Source organism: Homo sapiens, chromosome 19 (genome assembly GCF_000001405.40).
Source record: "Homo sapiens chromosome 19, GRCh38.p14 Primary Assembly".
Lineage (NCBI taxonomy): Eukaryota > Metazoa > Chordata > Mammalia > Primates > Hominidae > Homo > Homo sapiens.
In genome coordinates this window covers 14,927,312-14,947,821 of record NC_000019.10, presented here as the reverse complement: position 1 = coordinate 14,947,821, position 20,510 = coordinate 14,927,312, and the positions used below count along the sequence as shown (strand labels likewise).

General features: G+C 40.4%; 1 protein-coding gene and 1 pseudogene across 1 annotated transcript; both read right to left on the bottom strand.

Moving 5' to 3' along the window:
• Positions 1-5,373: 5,373 nt before the first annotated feature.
• OR7C2 (olfactory receptor family 7 subfamily C member 2) lies at positions 5,374-6,333 on the bottom strand. The gene has a single exon (NM_012377.1). It carries the CDS (start codon positions 6,331-6,333, stop codon positions 5,374-5,376), a length of 960 nt encoding a protein of 319 aa, NP_036509.1.
• Positions 19,861-20,510, bottom strand: OR7A15P (olfactory receptor family 7 subfamily A member 15 pseudogene; annotated as a pseudogene).

Below are 20,510 nucleotides of genomic sequence, written 5' to 3'. Positions count from 1 at the left end.
TGTAGAAAATTTTCAGCTCCGGGCCAGGCGCAGTGGCTCACACCTGTAATCCCAGCACTTTGGGAGGCCAAGGCAGGTGGATCATGAGGTCAAGAGTTGGAGAGCAGCCTGGCCAACACGGTGAAACCTCGTCTCTACTCAGAATACAAAAATTAGCCAAGCATGGTGGTGGGCATCTGTAATCCCAGCTATTCCGGAGGCTGAGGAAAGACAATTGCTTGAACCCAGGAGGCGGAGGTTGCAGTGAGCTGAGATTGTGCCACTGCACTCCAGCCTGGGCGACAGAGCAAGACTCTGTCTCGAAAAAAGAAAAAAAAAAAAAGAAAAGAAAATTTTCAGCTCCATTATAATCTTATGGGTTTACCATAATATATGTGGTCTGTCTTAGGCCAAAACATCATCATGTGGGGCATGACTGTATACCAATGCTGCTGGATAATGAAAAACAAATTCAGTAAAATAAGCTACTATATTATAGAAGTGACATTAAAATCAATGAGGGGGCCGGCCGTGGTGGCTCTCGCCTATAATCCCAGCACTTTTTGGGAGGCTGAGGCGGGTGGATCACCCGAGGTCAGGAGTTAGAGACCAGCCTGGCCAACATGGTGAAACCCCGTCTTTACTAAAAATACAACAATTAGCTGAGTGTGGTGGCGGGCGCCTGTAATCCCAGCTACTTGGGAGGCTGAGGCAGGAGAATCACTTGAACCCGGGAGGCAGAAGTTGCAGTGAGCTGAGATTGCGCCATTGCATTCCAGCCTGGGTGACAAGAGTGAAACTCCACCTCAAAAAAAAAAAAAAAAAAAAAAAAAAGAAAAGGAAAAAGAAAAAAAATCAATTTTTTGATTGAGGGAAGGAAGGACGTTAAAAATGGTACTTGGATAATTGGTTATTAATTGGGGAGCAAAATCAACTTAAATTCCTATCTTAACATCAACCACCATAATAGAATGAAGTTGGAGGAAAAATGTCAAATAGCAGCAGAATTCTAGAAAAAAAGATAGATTAACCCTCTGAGCAGAAATCCAGATGGAAGAAAGAGAAAAGAAGAGAACTGAGAAGATAACTGATGGACTCAAACATATTAAACAGCTGCAAGTAAAACAATAAAGATAATAAAAGATGAATGGAAAGCTGTGGAAATATTTAATAAATACATACATAAAAGAGATGTCTTTTATACACTCTCATGTTTGTTTCAGCACTATTCACAATAGCTAAGATTTGGAATCCAACTAAGTGTTCATCAACAGATGAATGGATAAAGAAAATGTGTTACATATACACAATGGAGCACTATTCAGTCATAAAAATTAATGAGAGATCCTATCATTTACAACAACATGGGTGGAGCTGGAGGATATGATGTTAAATGAAATAAGCTAGGCGGCCGGGCTTGGTGGCTCACGCCTATAATCCCAGCACTTTGGGAGGCAGAGGCGGGCAGATCACCTGAGGTCAGGAGTTCAAGACCAGCCTGGTCAATATGATGAAACCTGGTCTCTACGAAAAATAAAAAAATTAGCCGGACGTGGTGGTGGCTGCCTGTAATCCCAGCTACTCGGGAGGCTGAGGCAGATAGAATGGCTTGAACCCGGGAGGTGGGGGTTGCAGTGAGCCGAGATCGCACCATTGCACTCTAACCTGGGTGCCAAGAGCAAAAGTCCGTCTCAAAAAAAAAAAAGCAAAACCCAAACAACAACAACAAAAGAAATAAGCCAGGCACAGAAAAACACATTACATGTTCTCACTTGTATGTGGGAGCTAAAAAAAACTGAACTCATGGAAACAGAGTAGAATGATGGTTACCAGAAGCTAGGAGGGGCAGTAAGGAGGGAGGGAGGATAAAGAAGGGATAGTTAATGACTACAAAACTACAGTTAGAAGGAACAAAATCTAGTATTTGGTAGCACAACAGGGTGACTATAGTTAACAATAATTTATCGTATATTTCAAAATAACTAAAAAAGTGGAATTGGAATGTTAATAACGCAAAGAAATGATAAATACTTGAAGCGATAGATACCCCAATTACATTGATTTGATCAGTATATATTGTATGTGTAAAAATTTCATATGTGGCTGGGCGCGGTGGCTCACGCCTGTAATCCTAGCACTTTGGGAGGCTGAGGCGGGCGGATCACGAGGTCAGGAGATCGAGAACATCCTGGCTAACACAGTGAAACCCCGTTTCTACTAAAAATACAAAAAGTTAGCTGGGCGTGGTGGTGGGTGCCTGTAGTCCCAGCTACTCAGGAGGCTGAGGCAGGAGAATGGCGTGAACCCGGGAGGCGGAGCTTGCAGTGAGCCGAGATTGCGCCACTGCACTCCAGCCTGGGCGACAGAGCAAGACTCTGCCTCAAAAAAAAAAAAAAAAAAAAAAAATTTATGTGTACCCCATAAATATGTACAGCTATTGTGTATCCATAATGATTAAGAATAAAAATTTAAAAACTAAGTGAACTAGAATTTTAAAAAGTCTAAGATTAGATCAATGGAGGTAAACTCAAAATTTAGTAAAAATTAATGCAAGTAAATCACTACACAATGTATACATATATCAAATCATTATACACCTTGAATAAGTACAATGTTTATTAGTCAATTATTCCTCAGTAAAGCTGGAAAAAAGAGTTACTATAAAAACATCGAACACCAAAAGATCGAGCACAAAAATGTGCTCATTTTAATGAACAATCAAAGGAAGTCAAATTAAAATATCAAAGGAAAAAATAAATCTTACTCTTGGGTTTCATTTATTTCTGAGGCTGCAGCCCCCAGACACAGAATATTTCTTGGTTGGGGAGCATAATTCCAGAAGTAAGAATTTATGTCAGAGAATTCCTGGTTCCTTTGAGGTTTAACTATATTATTAGAAGGTTTGACTAGAGGTAACTGTCATGGGTGAGTGGCGACTGTCTGGGGCTGGTGGTGTGGAAGATAAGAAGAATTTACCAACACAGTTGTAGGTAAAGAAAGGCAGATTTATTGGAGAAAGTATGAAAATACATTGCAAGGAAGCAATGGGCAGGCCAGCAATGGAGGAGTTGATTGCTAAGGACAAAAGCTTGCTGGGGATTTTATAAGACAGTGCTTGTGCTGTGTGCTGAGGAGGGCTTTGTACAGTATTGATAACGCCAAGGTTGCACTGAGCTAACTTGCAATTTTTGTATCAGCTGAGGGTCTGGTGATAGCTGAGTGCAGGAAGATTGTGAGTGTTTTGCACAGGAGGGCTTTGTGTCTGGGACCATGAAGAAAGGCAGACTTCTATCTGCTTCTTTTTGCTTTCCCTTGGTCTTGCCAGCCTGACTCCTTTTCCCTAATTAGGACTCCACAGCAACACAACATAATGCCTGGGAGAGCTGTCTGATTCATACAGCCCTGCATTTGAACCTTGTCGCTACATTCATTACTTTGAGCTAATTACCTACTTACCATAAGCTCTTACGTTTTTATTTGTAAATTTGAGAAATAATACTAATCACATAAAAGAGTTATTGGAAAAATTAAATGAGGTAATGTATATAAAGCTCTTAAACTGTGCTGGTATATAAAGTGTTATTAATATCAACATCAATAACCTTGAATTTTGTTTCTAGCTCAACAACTTAATTAATTATTATTATTATTTAGAAACAGAGTCTCACTCTGTCACCCAGGCTGGAGTACAGTGGCATAATCACAGCTCACTACAGCCTTAACCTCCTGGGTTCAAGCCATCCTCCCGCCTCAGCTTCCTGAGTAGCTGAAACTACAGGCATGCAGCACCATGCCTGGCCAAAACCTCTCATCAGATTAATCAATTTGTATTTTTCTGGTCCAGATCTTATTTTATATTTAACCATCCACCCATCTATTTTTCTACTCCATTTGACAGATATCATGTAAACATGAACTCCTTACCAATAACTGTGCTAGGCATTGTGATTGCAAAAATCGGTGAGACATTGCTCTGAAATTCAAGGAACCCATATTGTGAAAGAGTAGAAAAGTTAAGTAAAGTTGGTGTGACTGAAAGGAAAGTGAATCAGATAAAAAAAGGAGGAAACTCTTTGAGTTATTTTTATTCACGTAACCTCAAAAAACATCTCTGTAAATGAGTTTCCAGGGCAACAAGTCCAAAATAGGGACATATCTCATCGCTTCTGAGGGTATATATTTAACATGTAAGATTTGATACATATATTTTTAACTCAAATCAGGCCGGGCATAGTGGCTCATGCCTGTAATCCCAGCACTTTGGGAAGCTGAGGCAGGCAGATCACTTGAGGTCAGAAGTTCGAGACCAGCCTAGCCAACATGGTGAAACTCTGTCTCTATTAAAAATACAAAAATTAGCCAGACATGGTGGTGCATGCCTGTAGTTCCAGCTACTCAGAAGGCTGAGGCAGGGGAATTGCTTCAACCCGGGAGGTGGAGGTTGCAGTGAGCTGAGATGGCGCCACTGCACTCCAGCCAGGGCGACAGAGGGAGACTGTCTCAAAAACACAAACAAAAACAAAAAACAAAACAAAAAACAAAAACAAAAAACAAAATCCAAATCATTACTAAAGATAACAGAGAAAACACCAGGTTGTATTCATACAAAGTTAAGATTACTGGTTAGAAAGTCAAAAAGGGTGATCCTATATAACTTTATTAGCAGTAGCAAGGGCAGGAAACGTTCCAAAGGAAGATGCAAGGGAAGAGATGCTTTAATATGTATAAAAGAAGGCAGGGTGCGGTGGCTCATTGCCTGTAATCCCAGCACTTTGGGAGGCCAAGGCGGGCAGATTACCTGAGGTCAGGAGTTCCAGACCAGCCTGACTAACATGGCAAAACCCCATCTCTACTAAAAATACAAAAACTAGCTGGGCATGGTGGCGGGTGCCTGTAATCCCAGCTACTCAGGAGGCTGAGGCAGGAGAACCACTTGAACCCGGGAGGCGGCAGTTGCAGTGAGCCGAGATCGCACCATTGCACTGCAGCCTGGGTGACAGAGTGAGACTCCTTCTTGAAAAAAAAAAAAAGAAGTGGCTGGGCACGGTGGCTCATGCCTGTAATCCCAGCACTTTGGGAGGCCGAGGCAGGTGGATCATGAGGTCAGGAGTTCGAGACCAGCCTGACTAACATGGTGACACCCCATCTCTACTAAAAATAAAAACAATTGGCCGGGAATTGGGGCGCATGCCTGTAATCCCAGCTGCTAAGGAGGCTGAGGCAGGAGAATTGCTTGAACCTGGGAGGCGGAGGTTGCAGTGAGCCGAGATCACGCCATTGCACTCCAGCCTGGGCGACAGAGCAAGACTCCGTCTCAAAAAAATGCATAAAAACAGAAGTTGAAATATTGGCTGAAAGAGGCCAGTCTGGCCTCAGTATTGTGTTCACTGCAATTCATGAGAGCTTAGCAATGGTCCCCTCTTTGAGAGACGTTGCCCTGAGGAGGAGTCTCCCCAGTGACCCCTTCATGTCCTTGTTCCTCAGGCTGTAGATGAAGGGGTTCAGCATGGGGGTGACCATGGTGTACATCACCGAGGCTGCCAGACTTGTCCTAGAAGGTGGTGTAACTGCAGAACTGAGATAGACCCCAAGGCCAGTGCCATAGAACAAGCTGACCACTGAGAGGTGGGAACCACAGGTGGAAAAGGCTTTGTGCTGGCCTCTGGCAGATACTCTTAGGACGGAGGAGAAAATCTGAGAATAAGAGAATAGGATTCCACAGAGAGGAAAAACACCCAGGACAATGGTCACAAAATACATCACGATGTTATTGATGAAGGTGTCAGAACAGGCCAGCTTCAGGACTTCGGAAGGATCACAAAAAAAGTGCGGAATTTCCATATTTGTGCAGAAGGACAGCCTCAAAATGGTCAAGGTCTCAAGCAAGGAACCCATGACACTGATGCACCAGGACCCCAGAACCAGCAGTCCACAGAGCCGGGGGTTCATGATGACCGTGTAGTGCAGGGGGTAACAGATGGCCACGAAGCGGTCATAGGCCGTCATGGTCAGGAGCAAATTGTCCAGGCATCCAAATGCAATGAAAAAAAATATCTGAGTGAGGCAGCCTGCAAAAGTGATCATTTTGCTTTGTGTTTGGATATTCACCAGCATCTTTGGGACAGTCGTGGATGTGAAACAGATGTCAGCAAAGGACAGGTTGGAGAGGAAGAAGTACATGGGGGTGTGGAGGTGGGAGTCTGAACTGATGGTCAGGATGATGAGCAGGTTTCCGATGATGGTAACCAGGTACATGGAGAGGAACAGCCCATGGAGGAGAAGCTGCATGTCAGAGTCCTCTGCGAATCCCAGGAGGAGAAAGTTTCCAACTTCTGTTTGGTTTCCTCTTTCCATGGGGCCGCTGGGTTTGCCGAGAAGGAGGAAAAAAAACAGCCACACAAAATTTACTCCAAATAAGCATTCCCCAGAATGACTGCAATATCCTTTATTCAAACCCAGGGAACTCAAGAAATCATGCATTTTGGCTAATTATTGGATTTCTTTGCCGACAAGTTACAGTTACCATCGCTACCTGGAGAAGTCATCTCTACATCATTGGTCCTTAAACTGTGGTTCCTGGAACAGCCCCATCAGCATCACCTGGGAACTCATTAGACATGTGCCTTATCATGCCCACCTGACCGACTGAATCTGATACTCTGGGTATGGAGCCAGCATTCTGGTTTAGTTTTTGTTTGAGATGGAGTCTCGCTCTTTCGCCCAGGCTAGAGTGCAGTGGCAGAGTCTTGGCTCACTGCAACCTCTGCCTCCCGGGTTCAAGTGATTCTCCTGCCTCAGCCTCCAGAGTAGCTGGTATTACAGGCATGTACCACCACGCCCAGCTAATTTTTGTAGTTTTAGTAGAGACAGGGTTTCACCATGTTGGTCAGGCTGGTCTCGAACTCCTGACCTCGTGATCCTCCTGCGTTGGCCTCCCAAAGTGCTGGGATTACAGGCATGAGCCACCACGCCTGGCCTTTTAATTTTAATTAATTAATTTTTTTTTTTTGAGACAGAGTCTCACCCTGTTGCCCAGGCTGGAGTGCAGTGGTGCAATCTCAGCTCACTGCAACCTCTGGCTCCCAGGTTCAAGCAATTCTCATGCCTCAGCCTCCTGAGTAGCTGGCACTACAGGCGCGCACCACCACGCTGAGGTAATTTTTTTTTTTTTTTGTATTTTTAGGAGAGACACGGTTTCTCCATGTTGGCCAGACTGGTCTCAAACTCCTGACCTCAGATGATCCGCCCGCCTCAGCCTCCCAAAGTGCTGGTATTACAGGCATGAGCCACCGTGCCTGGCCTGCATTCTGGGTTTTAACAAGCCCTCTAGGGAATTCTGATGCACACTCAAGTTTGAGGACTATTGCTTCAGCGCTTGCCTGTATCCCTAAGCAATCCTTCCCACCGCAGCATCCCTGGTGGCTGCTCTTGCCCTTTCTGCCTAAGGCATGGGGATTAGGAAATCAGGCAATGAGAATTCCCTAATTCTAGGCAGATTGTCAATCCTCAGAAGGCTTTTTCTTCTATTGTGCTGCATTCCTGTAATTTATTTTTCATTTTGTTTTAGAGACAAGGTCTGGCTCTGTTGCCCAGGCTGGAGTGCAGTGGCGCCATCCTAGCTCACTGCAGTCTCGAACTTCTGGGCTCAAGTGATCCTCCTGCCTCAGCCTCCCAAGTAGCTGGGATTACAGGTGCAAGCCACTGTGCCCAGTTGTAATGTCTACATGTTAAATCCTCTGGATCTTGGATGCCCCTTCTGCTAAAAAATAATAACCACTGTTTTTAATCATCATTGTTTACATTTCATTTATATTATCAATCTCCCTAGCTAAACTCAACAAAAATGGAACTTTGAAATAGAAAAGCCCTAGAGTTTCTAGATATAGAATTAAATTTTATCCCCATTTTCCATCATCTGATTCCATCAGATCAAAATATTCTGCCATACAGAAATGGCTCTTTAAAACTTGTCCATGTTGGACATTTACTTACTTTCTAAGTTTTCTTAAAGACAAAGAAAGTTTTTGATTAACTATAGTTTTATATTTTTTATATTTTCTTCTCTTAGGTTAATCTGTAAATGGCCTTTCTCAGTTGTTGTTGTTTTTTTTTTTAATTAAGACATTTCCGGCCGGGCGCGGTGGCTCACGCCTGTAATCCCAGCACTTTCGGAGGCCAAGGTGGGCGGATCACGAGGTCAGGAGTTCGAGATAAGCCTGGCCAACATGGTGAAACTCCGTCTCTAATAAAAATACAAAAATTAGCTGGGCGTGGTGGCACACACCTGTAGTCCCAGCTACTAGGGAGGCTGAGGCAGAAGAATTGCTTGAACCCAGGAGGCGGAGGTTGCAGTGAGCCGAGATCACGCCACTGCACTCCAGCCTGGGCAACAAAGCGAGACTCTGTCTCAAAAAACAACAACAACAACAACAACAAAAACATTAAGACATTTTCTTGTTCACACTCTTATAAATAGATAATTTTAAATGGTCATCTGTGCCATGACAGCAAGCAGGGTATCAAATCTTTTGTTCCATATTTTTAATTGTCTATCTTCAAAATATACTTAAACATTGAGTTGAGAAATTTGCTTAGTATTGTTTCTTTCATAATTTTATTTCTGATGTGCCAGTTTATCCTCCCAGATGAGCTTTAGAATCCTCTAGCCATGTTGCAAGAAAAATACCATTGGAATTTTATTGGAGATTACATTAAAGTTATCAATTAATTTGGAGAGAAATTGACATCTTTATTATGTTCAAATTCTCATTCCAGTAGCAGAAATGTTCCTCTGCATATTTTAATCCTTTTTTGGGTAGACATTTTTGTTCACGTGTTAAAAATACACATATAGATTATGTTAATTTCTTAATATTTTAATGTAATACCCCCCCACATAACATCTCTGCTATTGGTATTATATTAGGAAGTCATTTGCTTTTTTTGTATTGAAGAGGTGCCATATTCTTTTTCTGGGTTTTCTTCTTAGTTTCATGTTTTTCTCTAAAATTCATCTATTTTCTCCAAATAATACTAATTAATAACACCTATTTCTCTTTTAGGTCTTATTGCATTGGTTTGAAATTTTAGAATCCTTTTAAAATTTATGGTAGGAGTTGGCATTCTTCTTTTTCTTCTTCTTTTTTAAATAGAATAACCCTAGAGTTTTGTAATTTAATATGATGTTCACTGTGATTTAGAATGTGTAATTTTTATCACGTTAACTTGCATTTTTTATTTCTGGATACTTGAGTGTGTTTAAAATTTTTTTTTTATTTTTTTAAGTTGTGTGGGTAAGTGTATATCTCTATGAGTTACATGACATATTTTGATTCAGGCATGCAATGCGTATAGTAATCACATCATGGAAAATGCAGCATCCATTCCCTCAAGCATTTATCCTCTGTGTTGCAAACAATCAAATTATATTCTTTTTGTTATTTTAAAATGTGCAATTAAATTGATTTTGACTGTACTCACCCTGTTGTGCTAGCAAATACTAGGTCTTATTTATTATTTCTCTTTTTAAAACTTATTATTAATTTTTGTGGGTACGTAATAGGTGTATGTATTTATGGGGTACATGAGATGTTTTGATACAGGCATGCAATGCATAAGAATCACATCATGGAGAATGGGGCATCCATCCTCTCAAACATTTATCCTTTGTGTTACAAGCAATCCAATTATAATCCTTTAGTTTTTTGTTTGTTTGTTTTGTGGTTTTTTTTTTTTTTTTTTTTTAAGATGAAGTTTCACTCTTGTTGCCTAGGCTGAAGTGCAATGGCACCATCTTGGCTCACTGCAACCTCCGCCTCCCGGGTTCAAGCGATTCTCCTGCCTCAGCCTCCCAAGTAGCTGGGATTATAGGCATGTGCCACCATTCCTGGCTAATTTTGTATTTTTAGTAGAGACGGGGTTTCACCATGTTGGTCAGGCTGGTCTTGAACTCCTGATCTCAGGTGATCCACCCACCTCAGGCTCCCAAAGTGCTGGGATTACAGGTGTGAGCCATCTTCCCTGGCCTCCTTTAGTTATTTTAAATAGTGTTTTTTAAAGGTATAAATAAGTGTTTAATGATTAATTATTTAGAAAAAATAATGTCAAATCCCATCTCTGTAGTCCCAAATACATTTCAAACAGACAAGAGACTACATAAGCTATCTGAAGAAAACATAGATAAACATATAGATTATATAAATTTATACATGGATAGATATAATCTTTGAAAGTACAAATTCTTTCTGAATAATTCACCTTTGATAGAAAAAGAGATCAGCAACTAGAACCATAAATTGAAAAATTCTGAATGAGAAAATGTGCCTTGCAGAAAGTTAGAATGCAAAAAAAAAATTTATGTAACTGACAAAAGTTAATATCTTTATAAAGACAATTATAAATCATTGAAATATTAATGCACTGATGGGGAAAATAAATAGAATATTAAAGGTTCATAAAATGAACTGTAAAAGGATAATAAATGTTTGAGAAAATGTTTTATTTTTACTGTTAATCTAAAAAAGTAAAATTAACAATAACATACCCCTTTCACTGAGGGAATTAAAATGTCTGTATGAAAGAAGAGTAAGAATGCAAAATTTCGGTTGGGGGCGGTGGCTCATGCCTGTAATCCCAGCACTTTGGGAGGCCAAGGCGGGCGGATCACGACGTCAAGAGATCGAGACCATCCTGGCCAATATGGTGAAACTCCGTCTCTACTGAAAATACAAAAATTAGCTGGGCATGGTTGCACGTGCCTGTAATCCCAGCTACTCCCAGCTACTCGGAAGGCTGAGAGAGAATGGCTTGAACACAGGAGGCGGAGGTTGCAGTGAGCCGAGATCGCGCCACTGTACTCCAATCTAGTCTGGCGACAGAGTGAGACTCCATCTAGGGGGAAAAAAAAATTCCATCATGTGGAAAGAAAACATTTCAGATACTGCTATGAAAAGACATTTGGTCTCCTTTTCTGAGCTAGAGAAATGAACTCAGCCTATGGATCTCTTAAACTATACACATATTGGCACCAAAAGAAAAAAAAGATCCATAACAACATACCCCAAAGTATGAAGAGGGATCATCTTTGAGTGTTAACATTAATTTTGATTTTTAGATTCCTTTTTTAGCATATTGTTTGAAAATTGCAAATGAATACATGTGTAGCCTATCCTCAAGAAATAAAAACTTAAAAATTTGAAGATATTGTCAATACAAGTGTTATAAAATCAATATTGTAAAATTTGATTTTGTTAAAAATTATCACAAAATATTTAACATTCTGTTAAAACAGAAAGGAGTAGCTAATAAAGATCAAAGCAGAATTAATGAACTAAAAAGAAGAAATATTCTGGAACTGAAAAATAAATTCCAGAGCGAATTCTTTGGCAACCACAAACGAATAGAAAAAATTAGAAGTGTAACAAAAGGGATACAAAGAGGGAGAAAGAGCAGAAAGGCCTAAAACCAAGAATGAGAAAAAAATGAACACAGAGATAAGGAAACACTCAACTTTGCAAGATAATGTCATTTATAACGCCATGTTAAAAATGTGAAAATCCCCAAGAAATGAATTTATTTCTGGAAAAACATAAGTGCCCAAAGTTGATTCGGGATGGAGGAAAACAGATCAATAACTAAGGAAGGAATTAAATAAACAGAACTTACTTCCAAAAATGCCCTGGTGAGGCTGTGTGGCAGGAACAACAGGAGAATTCTCCTTTAAGAATTAAAAAGGAAAAGTATGTTTATTATTAGTAATTATTTGTCAGTGCCCTGGAAGTTTCAACCAATGCAATACAAGGAGAAAAAGAAATGAGACCTATATTAAAAAGGCAACATAACTTTGTTTTCGGATGATGGATTGGCTGTGGATGATGGATTGGCTGTGGATGATGGATTGGCTGTGGATGATGGATTGGTAGCTGAAAACTTATTCTTTTTTTTTTCTTTTTTTCTCTTTTTGAGACAGAGCCTTGCTCTTCTCCCAGGCTGGAGTGCAGTGGCATGATCTCGGCTCACTGCAACCTCCACCTCCTGGGTTCAAGTGATTCTCCTGCCTCAGCCTCCTGAGTAGCTGAGATTACAGGTGCACGCCAACACGCCCAGCTAATTTTTGTATTTTTAGTAGGGATGGGGTTTCACTATGTTGGTCAGGCTGGTCTTGAACTGCTGACCTTGTGATCCGCCCACCTCAGCCTCCCAAAGTGCTGGTATTACAGGCGTGAGCCACCACACCCAGCCTGAAAACTTATTTTAACTGAGCATGATTTTAATAAGGCAGCTGAAACAAAACAAATCTGTAAAAAGCAGTAGCCATTCTAAGGTGGCATTCAGAGGGACATTCAGAATGTTTTTCAACCATTGCTTTTACCTAGTTCCCATAGGAATAGGTAAGGGAATTATGGGAACTCTGTACTCTCTTTGTAACTACTCTGTAAATCCAAATTATTCAAAAATAAAAATTAACAAAAAATTGAGTCCAAGGAAAAATAAAAGTAGCATTCATATGTACAGTTGAATCTCTTAAAAATACATCTCCATCATTTCAAACATTAACAAGCATGGATGCTGGTGAGGTTGTGGAGAAAAGGGAACAGCTTATACACTGTTGAAGGGAGTGTAAATTAGTTCAACCACTGTGGAAGTCAGTGTGGTTATTCCTCAAAGATTTAAAGATAGAAATACCATTTGGTCCAGCAATCCCATTACTGCGTATATACCCAAAGGAATATAAATCCTTCTTTTATAAAGACACATGCATGAGTATGTTCATTGCAACACTATTCACAATAGCAAAGACATGGAATCAACCTAAATACCCATCAATGATAGACTGGATAAAGAAAATGTGGCACATATACACCATGGAATACTAGGCAGCCATAGCAAAAAACAAGACCATGTCCTTTGCAGGGACATGGATGGAGCTGGGGGCCATTATCCTTAGCAAACTAACACAGGAACAGAAAACCAAATATCACATGTTCTCACTTATAAGTGGGAGCTAAATGATGAGAACACATGGGCACACAGAGGGAAACAACACACACTGGGGCCTATTGGAGGGTGGAGTAGGGGAGGAGGGAGTGGATCAGGAAGAATAACTAATGGGTACTAGGCTTAACACCTGGGTGATGACATAATCTGTACAACAAACCCTCATGACACACATTTACCTATATAACAAAACTGCACATGTACCCTTGAACTTAAAAGTTAAAAAGAAATTTAAAAAAATCCAAGAATATAAAATTCCTGGAACAGGGACTGGAAACTTGTAAATACTCAACAAATAAAAGTAATAATAGCTAAAATCTATTAAGGACTTTTGCATGTCAAGCACTTGTCAAATATTTTATATGTCTTAGTTCATTTGACCATCATCACAATTTTTTTGATTTAATGAATGAAAATGTGTTTATAATAATGCACTAATAATAATTAACATGAGTAGGTGTTCACTAGATCTTGGAGACTATTAAAAAATTATGCATGATCTTTAATTTAATCCTTTTTTTTTTTTTTTTTGAGATGGAGTCTCGCTTTGTTGCCCAGGCTGGAGTGCAGTGGCCCAATCTCCGCTCACCGTAAGCTCCTCCTCCCAGGTTCATGCCGTTCTCCTGCCTCAGCCTCCCGTGTAGCTGGGACTACAGGCGCCCGCCACCATGCCCGGCTAATTTTCTGTGTATTTTTAGTAGAGACGGGGTTTCACCATGTTAGCCAGGATGGTCACGATCTCTGGAACTCGTGATCCGCCTGCCTCGGCCTCCCAAAGTGATGGGATTACAGGCGTGAGCCACCGCGCCCAGCCAATTTAATCCTCATTTTAATTTAAAATATTTATTATAGTTATTTAAAAAATTGATACATAATAATTGTATATACTTATGGGGTACATGGGCTATTTTGATATATGCATACAATATATAATGATCACAGCAGAGTAATTAGCATATCCATCACCTCAAACATTTATCATTTATTTGTGTTGGGAACATTTCAAATCTCTTCTTGCTATTTTGAAATATACAATAAATTATTGTTAACTATAGACCCCTACTGTGCTGTCAAACACTAGAAAGTATTCCTTCTAACTGTGTTTTTATGCCCATGAGTCAATCTCACCTCATCACCCCACACCCTTCCCACTCTCTGATAACTATCATTCTACATTCTACCTCCATGAGATCAACATGTTTTAGCTCTCACATATGAGTGAGAATATGCAATATTTGTCTTTCTGTGCCTGGCTTATTTCACTTAGCATAATGACCCCCAGTCTCATCCCTGTTGCAGCAACTGGCAGGATTTCATTCTGAATAGTATTCCTTCGTTTAGGTACCACATTTTCTTTATCCATTCATCTAGTGATGAACACTTAGGTTGATTCCATATCTCGGATATTGTGAATAGCACTGCAATAAACATGGAAGTACAGATATTTCTTTGATATACAGATTTCCAGGCTGGGCATGGTGGCTCACACCTGTAATCTCAGCACTTTGGGAAGACGAGGTGGGTGGATCACCTGAGGTCAGTAGTTCAAGACAAGCCTGGCCAACATGGAGAAAGCCCATCTCTACTAAAAATACAAAAATCAGCTGGGTGTGGTGGCGGGTGCCTGCAATCCCAGCTACTCAGGAGGCTGAGGCAAGAGGATCACTTGAACCTGGGAGGTGGGGGCTGCAGTGAGCTGAGATCACGCCACTTCACTCCAGCTGGGGTGACAGAGCAAAACTCCGTCTCAAAAAACCAAAAACCCAAAACCAAAAAACCAACAACCAAAAACAAAAACGATATATGGATTTCCTTTCTTTTGAATATATACGCAGCAGTGGGATTAGTGGATCATAGGGTAGATCTAATTTAATTCTCATCTTAACCCCATGAAATGGATATGACTATTATACTCATTTTACAGATATGGAGACTGAGACACAGAAATATTAAGTAAACTAATGTCAGAAGATGTATGCAATGGGCTTGCGAGTGCTAACTATGAAATCTCAGGGAATGTTTCTTAAGTGAATGAATGAATGAGTAACTGAGTAAGATATTATGGGTAAACAACATAGGAGCATCTTTGATACAGGAGAATGGAAGCATTTTTATTATTTTTTCTTTTTCTTTTTTGTTTTTCTTATTTTATTTCTTGGAAGCACTTTAAATGGCTCCAGAAAAACAGCTAAGATGGCTGGGTAAGAAACTTTTGAGAGATACTAGAAGCTAACACGTCAATTTTTATTAGGAAGGCGAAAGAGCCTCAGAATTTGGTCCTGGAAGAGAGAGGAAGACACCTGAGAGGGAGCTAAGAGGAAGAGCTAAGAGAGACACAGGAATTCATTGTGCAGGATGCTTTAAGTGAATGGACTGTCCTCACCACACTGTCCCCATTTACACCGCCAAAGTTCTTCCTTTGAGAGCTCTGCCTGCCTCCATACCTGTTCCCCACCTCAGATGCTCCAGGGCATTGCTGAGCCTCTAGTTCCCTAGGTCCTTTCTTCCCTGGGTGATGGAGGTTCAACTCAGCTTCAGGGATGGACGGAGATGTGGCCTTGGGCATAAGTCCTCTGAAAGTCGAACTCCCTGCTTCCTGGAACATTTGAGCAGTAAGTAACAGGTGTAAGGGGCATATTTACTATCAGACTTAGAGGTTGAATTCTCATGAATGCTCATTAAATTAATCACTCCGTTCTAACTCTATTCTCTAAGCAATTTCATTCCCATGAGTGAGGGAGCCAAAATAGAAACACTTTTTTCTGCTAGTTTTGTATTCTTGGGAGCATCTTGGATACCAGGTATGGGAATCCCTTACTCTGGGGCTCTTTGCTTATGATACTCTTTTCTGCCTGATGTGGCTTCCATTGTTTATTGTCCTCCCCAGTGATGGTTTCCTCAACATTTTATTTTTTTATTTTTATCTATTTATTTTTGAGACAGAGTCTTGCTCTGTCGCTCAGGCTGGAGTGCAGTGGCACAATCCCGGCTCACTGCAACCTCCGCCTCCCGGGTTCAAGCAATTATCCTGCCTCGGCCTCCCGAGTAGCTAGGACTACAGGCACCCACCACCATGCCAGGCTAATTTTTGTATTTTCAGTAGAGACGGGGTTTTGCCACGTTGGCCAGGCTGGTCTCAAACTCCTGACGTCAAGCGATCCACTGGCCTCAGCCCCTCAAAGTGCTGGGATTACAGGTGAGAGCCACCGCGCCTGGCCTCAACATTTTAGATGGAGTTTCTTTGCGCACGAGCAGGCAGGTTTTGTTTTTTTGTTTTTTAAAAAGACCTTTGAGTCCTGAGCAACTTAACTTGGAGTTGTGGACAGGGACCACACACAACTCTGAACAAAACCATTCCAATGACTTTGCCACAAGTTCTATTCTTACTATTGAAGGTGCAATATAGAGAAAGTTCCAGGTACGCGAAGAGAAGATGAGAGGTGGTTTGCCTGGCTGTCCAGGCAGGACCCTGCAGGTATCTACACTTTTACAGGTTCAAAACAAGTCCATTGGATGCTGCTTGTTATTCCATTCCAGAGAATATAGACCGTCTTTAACAATTCACAAAGGACTAATTTTTTTTTCATTTTTTTTTTTTGGTAGAGATGGGGTCTTGCTATGTTGGCCAGGCTGGTCTCAAACACCTTGTAGCAGGCTAGGTCCTACTAAAGCAGACCTCTCTAACAACTGTTTCAGCACTGACTGAGTGGTTAAGTTAAATATTAAAAACTGATAGGGCCAGTGCCTTTATACAAAGGCTGGAATGTAAAAAAAAAAGGCTACCCAGAGCTTTGCCTAGGCCTTTCCTGGGCCCTGAAACGTGAGAAGATAATGAAGGAATTCTTAACAGGACCCATTTAGGATTAAACAAGTTTTATTGGGGGTCTGAAGAAACTCCCCAGGCCTCCACAAACAAGTTTGTTGGGGGTCTGAAGGAACTCCCTAAACCTCCATGATTTAGCAGGAGACAAGATAAGGGTAATCACCCCAGCACCTGGACCCATTTAGATTAAGTGAATTTACTGAGGCTCCAGAGGAAGGTCTTCAGGACTCAGATCTTAGTTATAGATTAAAAGAAGTTAATCACTTATGTATTTAGATGAATGCACACTTACACATAGACATATAGCTTAGAAGGTATATAAACTCTGGAAGACTTTGTAATTTTTGAGTTGATCCAGTGGTAATTTCCAGGCCTTCTCCCTGTAACCAGTTACAGAAATAAAAACTCTTTTCCTCCCTAGTTCATCTGCATCTCATTAATGGGCCATGAGAATAAGCAGCCTGACCCTTGCTTTGGTCTGGGAACAACCTGGGCTCAAGTGATCCTCCTGCCTCAACCTCCCAAAATGCTGACATTTTAGGCATGAGCCACTATGCATGGCTAGGACTGATTTTTAAAGCCCAAATAAAATACCATTAAAACAGTTCCAGAAAATAAGAATAGTGAGACACAGCATCCCCTCTGAGTGACAATTTTCTGCCTGAAGGAATAATCAACAAGATGAGATCTTTCTCACCAGATGGGAAGACCTACTATAGGGTTTACAATGCTCATGTGTTCAAGTGATGAAACATTCATCTGGTCAGTGCCTTATTCCTGGGCGAACCTCTCACTTTTCTTCTTTATAGTAAGTCATTCCTTATTTGCAGGGGATTGGTTTCAGGACACCCTGCATATAACAAAATCCACTGATGCTGAAGTCCCTTATATAAAATGGCATAGTATTTGCATATTAGCTATGCACATTCTCCTGTATACTTTAAATCATTTCTAGAGTACTTATAATACTGAACACAGTGTAAATGCTCTGTAAATAGTTGTTATACTTTATTTAAAAATTTGTATTATTTTTATTGTTGTATTGTGATTTTTAATTTTTTTAAAAAACAATTATATATTTATTTATATATTTTAAATAAAAAGAAAGAAATGGAGATATATGAACTTTCTGACAAAGAATTCAAAAATAATTGTTTTAAGGAAGTGCAGCAAACTTTAAGAAAATACAGAGAAACAATTCACCAAAATCAGAAAGACAATAAATGAACAAAATTTGAAATTTAACAGAGAGATTGAAATTATAAAAAAACTCTAGAAATTCTCAAGATGAAAAATACAATGAATGAAATGAAAAATGCAATCTAGAGTGTCAACAGCAGGATTGATAAAGCAGAAGAAATAAAGCAGAAGAAATAATCTATGAACTTGAAGACAGATTATTAGAAAACATACACTCAGAGGAGAAAAACAGAATAAAAAGGAGTGAAGAAAACTTATGGGATTTTATGGGGCAGCATAAGGAGGGTAAATATTTGAATTAACAGGAATCAAGAAAGAGAAGGAATGAACAAAGAGACAGAAAGCTTATCAAAAAAATAACTGAAAACTTTCCAACTTTCAGGAAAGATATAAATATCCAGATATCAACAGAATAATCTTTGATCATGAGGACTGAAAAGAATTTAGATTATAAAAGATGTAAAGGAATTGATGATCAAGTAAATACACATATTGTTCAATCATCTGTATTTTGTGTTATGATTACATTTGTTAAAGGGGGAAATATTTTTTGGACAATGTAAGTAGTCATATTTGTAGGTAACACTAGAATTTTCAAATAGAAACAGCAAGATGATACAATAAAATAATATAGACCATGACACCAAATCTTTCACTCAGATCAACAAACCTCATTACACATGAATAACAAGCTTCCACACTTCAATGAGTAGATGTACATCATTGAAAACAAACCTTCCATAGAAATTTAGTACATAATTGAAAATGTTACTCTATCATATTTAACGTCATCTCTAACTCTAAGTCCATGTAAAGCCAATTGATTTTTGCCAGTTTGTCTTTCTGTGTAGACTATGCTTGGAGCATTTATTTGATGAGCAACTTTTGACTAAGTACTCAGTGCCAGTAAATATAGTAGAATTCATGAATACTGAGTTCAAGAAGAGAACAGGATCCTAATGGGAGTGAAAAATCCCATAACCAGCTATAAAATACCCTAGTATGTTTAAGTCTACATTATCAGGAAGATCAATTAAGGTAGTGATACAGAAATGAATGACAAACACAAAAAGTGAAAAACCATAGCCTCAGAAATTCTTCTCCAATAAAATTACATAAATGGCCTCAGTGCCAAGCGTAGTTTATTCCATAGGAATAGTACAACTCATCACCCTATGAGGCAAATGGGAATCTCCAAATTGTTTCTGACCCAAGGTTGGGAATAACTTTGAGAAAGGAGGAAAACAAGGGGAAAATCTGTTGAATATTAGAGAGAGAGGAAAGCTTAATAATAGGAGTTGCTTAAATTTGATGAAGCAGTTGAGATAAAAGAAATGGAAACTTCAGGAAATAAATAGAGCAATTTCCAGCCCGGCGCAGTGGCTCACGCCTGTAATCCCAGCACTTTGGGAGGCAGAGGCGGTTGGATCACGAGGTCAGGAGATCAAGACCATCCTGGCTAACATAGTGAAACCCCGTCTCTACTGAAAATACAAGAAATTAGCCGGGTGCGGTGGTGGGTGCCTGTAGTCCCAGCTACTCGGGAGGCTGAGGCAGCAGAATAGCATGAACCCAGGAGGTGGAGCTTGCAGTGAGCGGAGATGGCGCCACTGCACTCTGGCCTGGGCAGCAGAGCAAAACTCTGTCTCAAAAAAAAAAAAAAAAAAAAAAAAGAGCAGTTTCCACTTCCATGATCTGATTAAACAACAGCAATATCTGGCTCTGAGGCTTTGAGCCTTGCAATCATGGATATAGCTTCAGCCCTAGGACAACTGGCCCTTTTCTAGTTTCCCTCCCAAAGAATTCTTCAGAGCCCTCTTTATGTCCTTATTCCTCAGGCTGTAGATGAAGGGGTTCAGCATGGGGGTGACCACAGTGTACCTCACTGAGGCTATTGCACCTGAGTGTGAGTTGTGGGATGCAGCCGAGCTAAGGTACACTCCTAGGCTTGTACAGTAAAACAAGGAGACAACTGAGAGGTGAGACGGACAGGTGGAAAATGCCTTATACTTCCCTTGAGCTGATGAGATTGCACATATGGAGGAAACTATCTTAGAGTAAGAGTAAAGGATCCCAGCGAGACATCCCCCCACCCAGCAGCACAGCTGCCAGATACATCACCATGTCATTAAGAAAGGTGTCAGAACAGGCAAGGTGGATGACCTGATTAAGTTCACAGAAAAAGTGGGGGATTTCCAACTCTCTGCATAAGGACAACTGCAGCACCATTAAGCTATGTAATAAGGAATGCAAGACACTTGTGATCCAGGATACCAGAACCAGCAATCCACAGAGTTGAGGGTTCATGATGACCGTGTAGTACAGGGGGTGACAGATGGCCACAAACCGGTCATAGGCCATCACAGTCAGGAGGAAGCTGTCCAATCCTACAAAATGTATGAAAAAGTACATCTGGGTGATGCAGCCTGCAGAGGTGATGACTTTGCTCTGTGCCTGGATATTCACCAGCATCTTTGGGACCCTGGTGGAGGCAAAACAGATGTCTACAAAG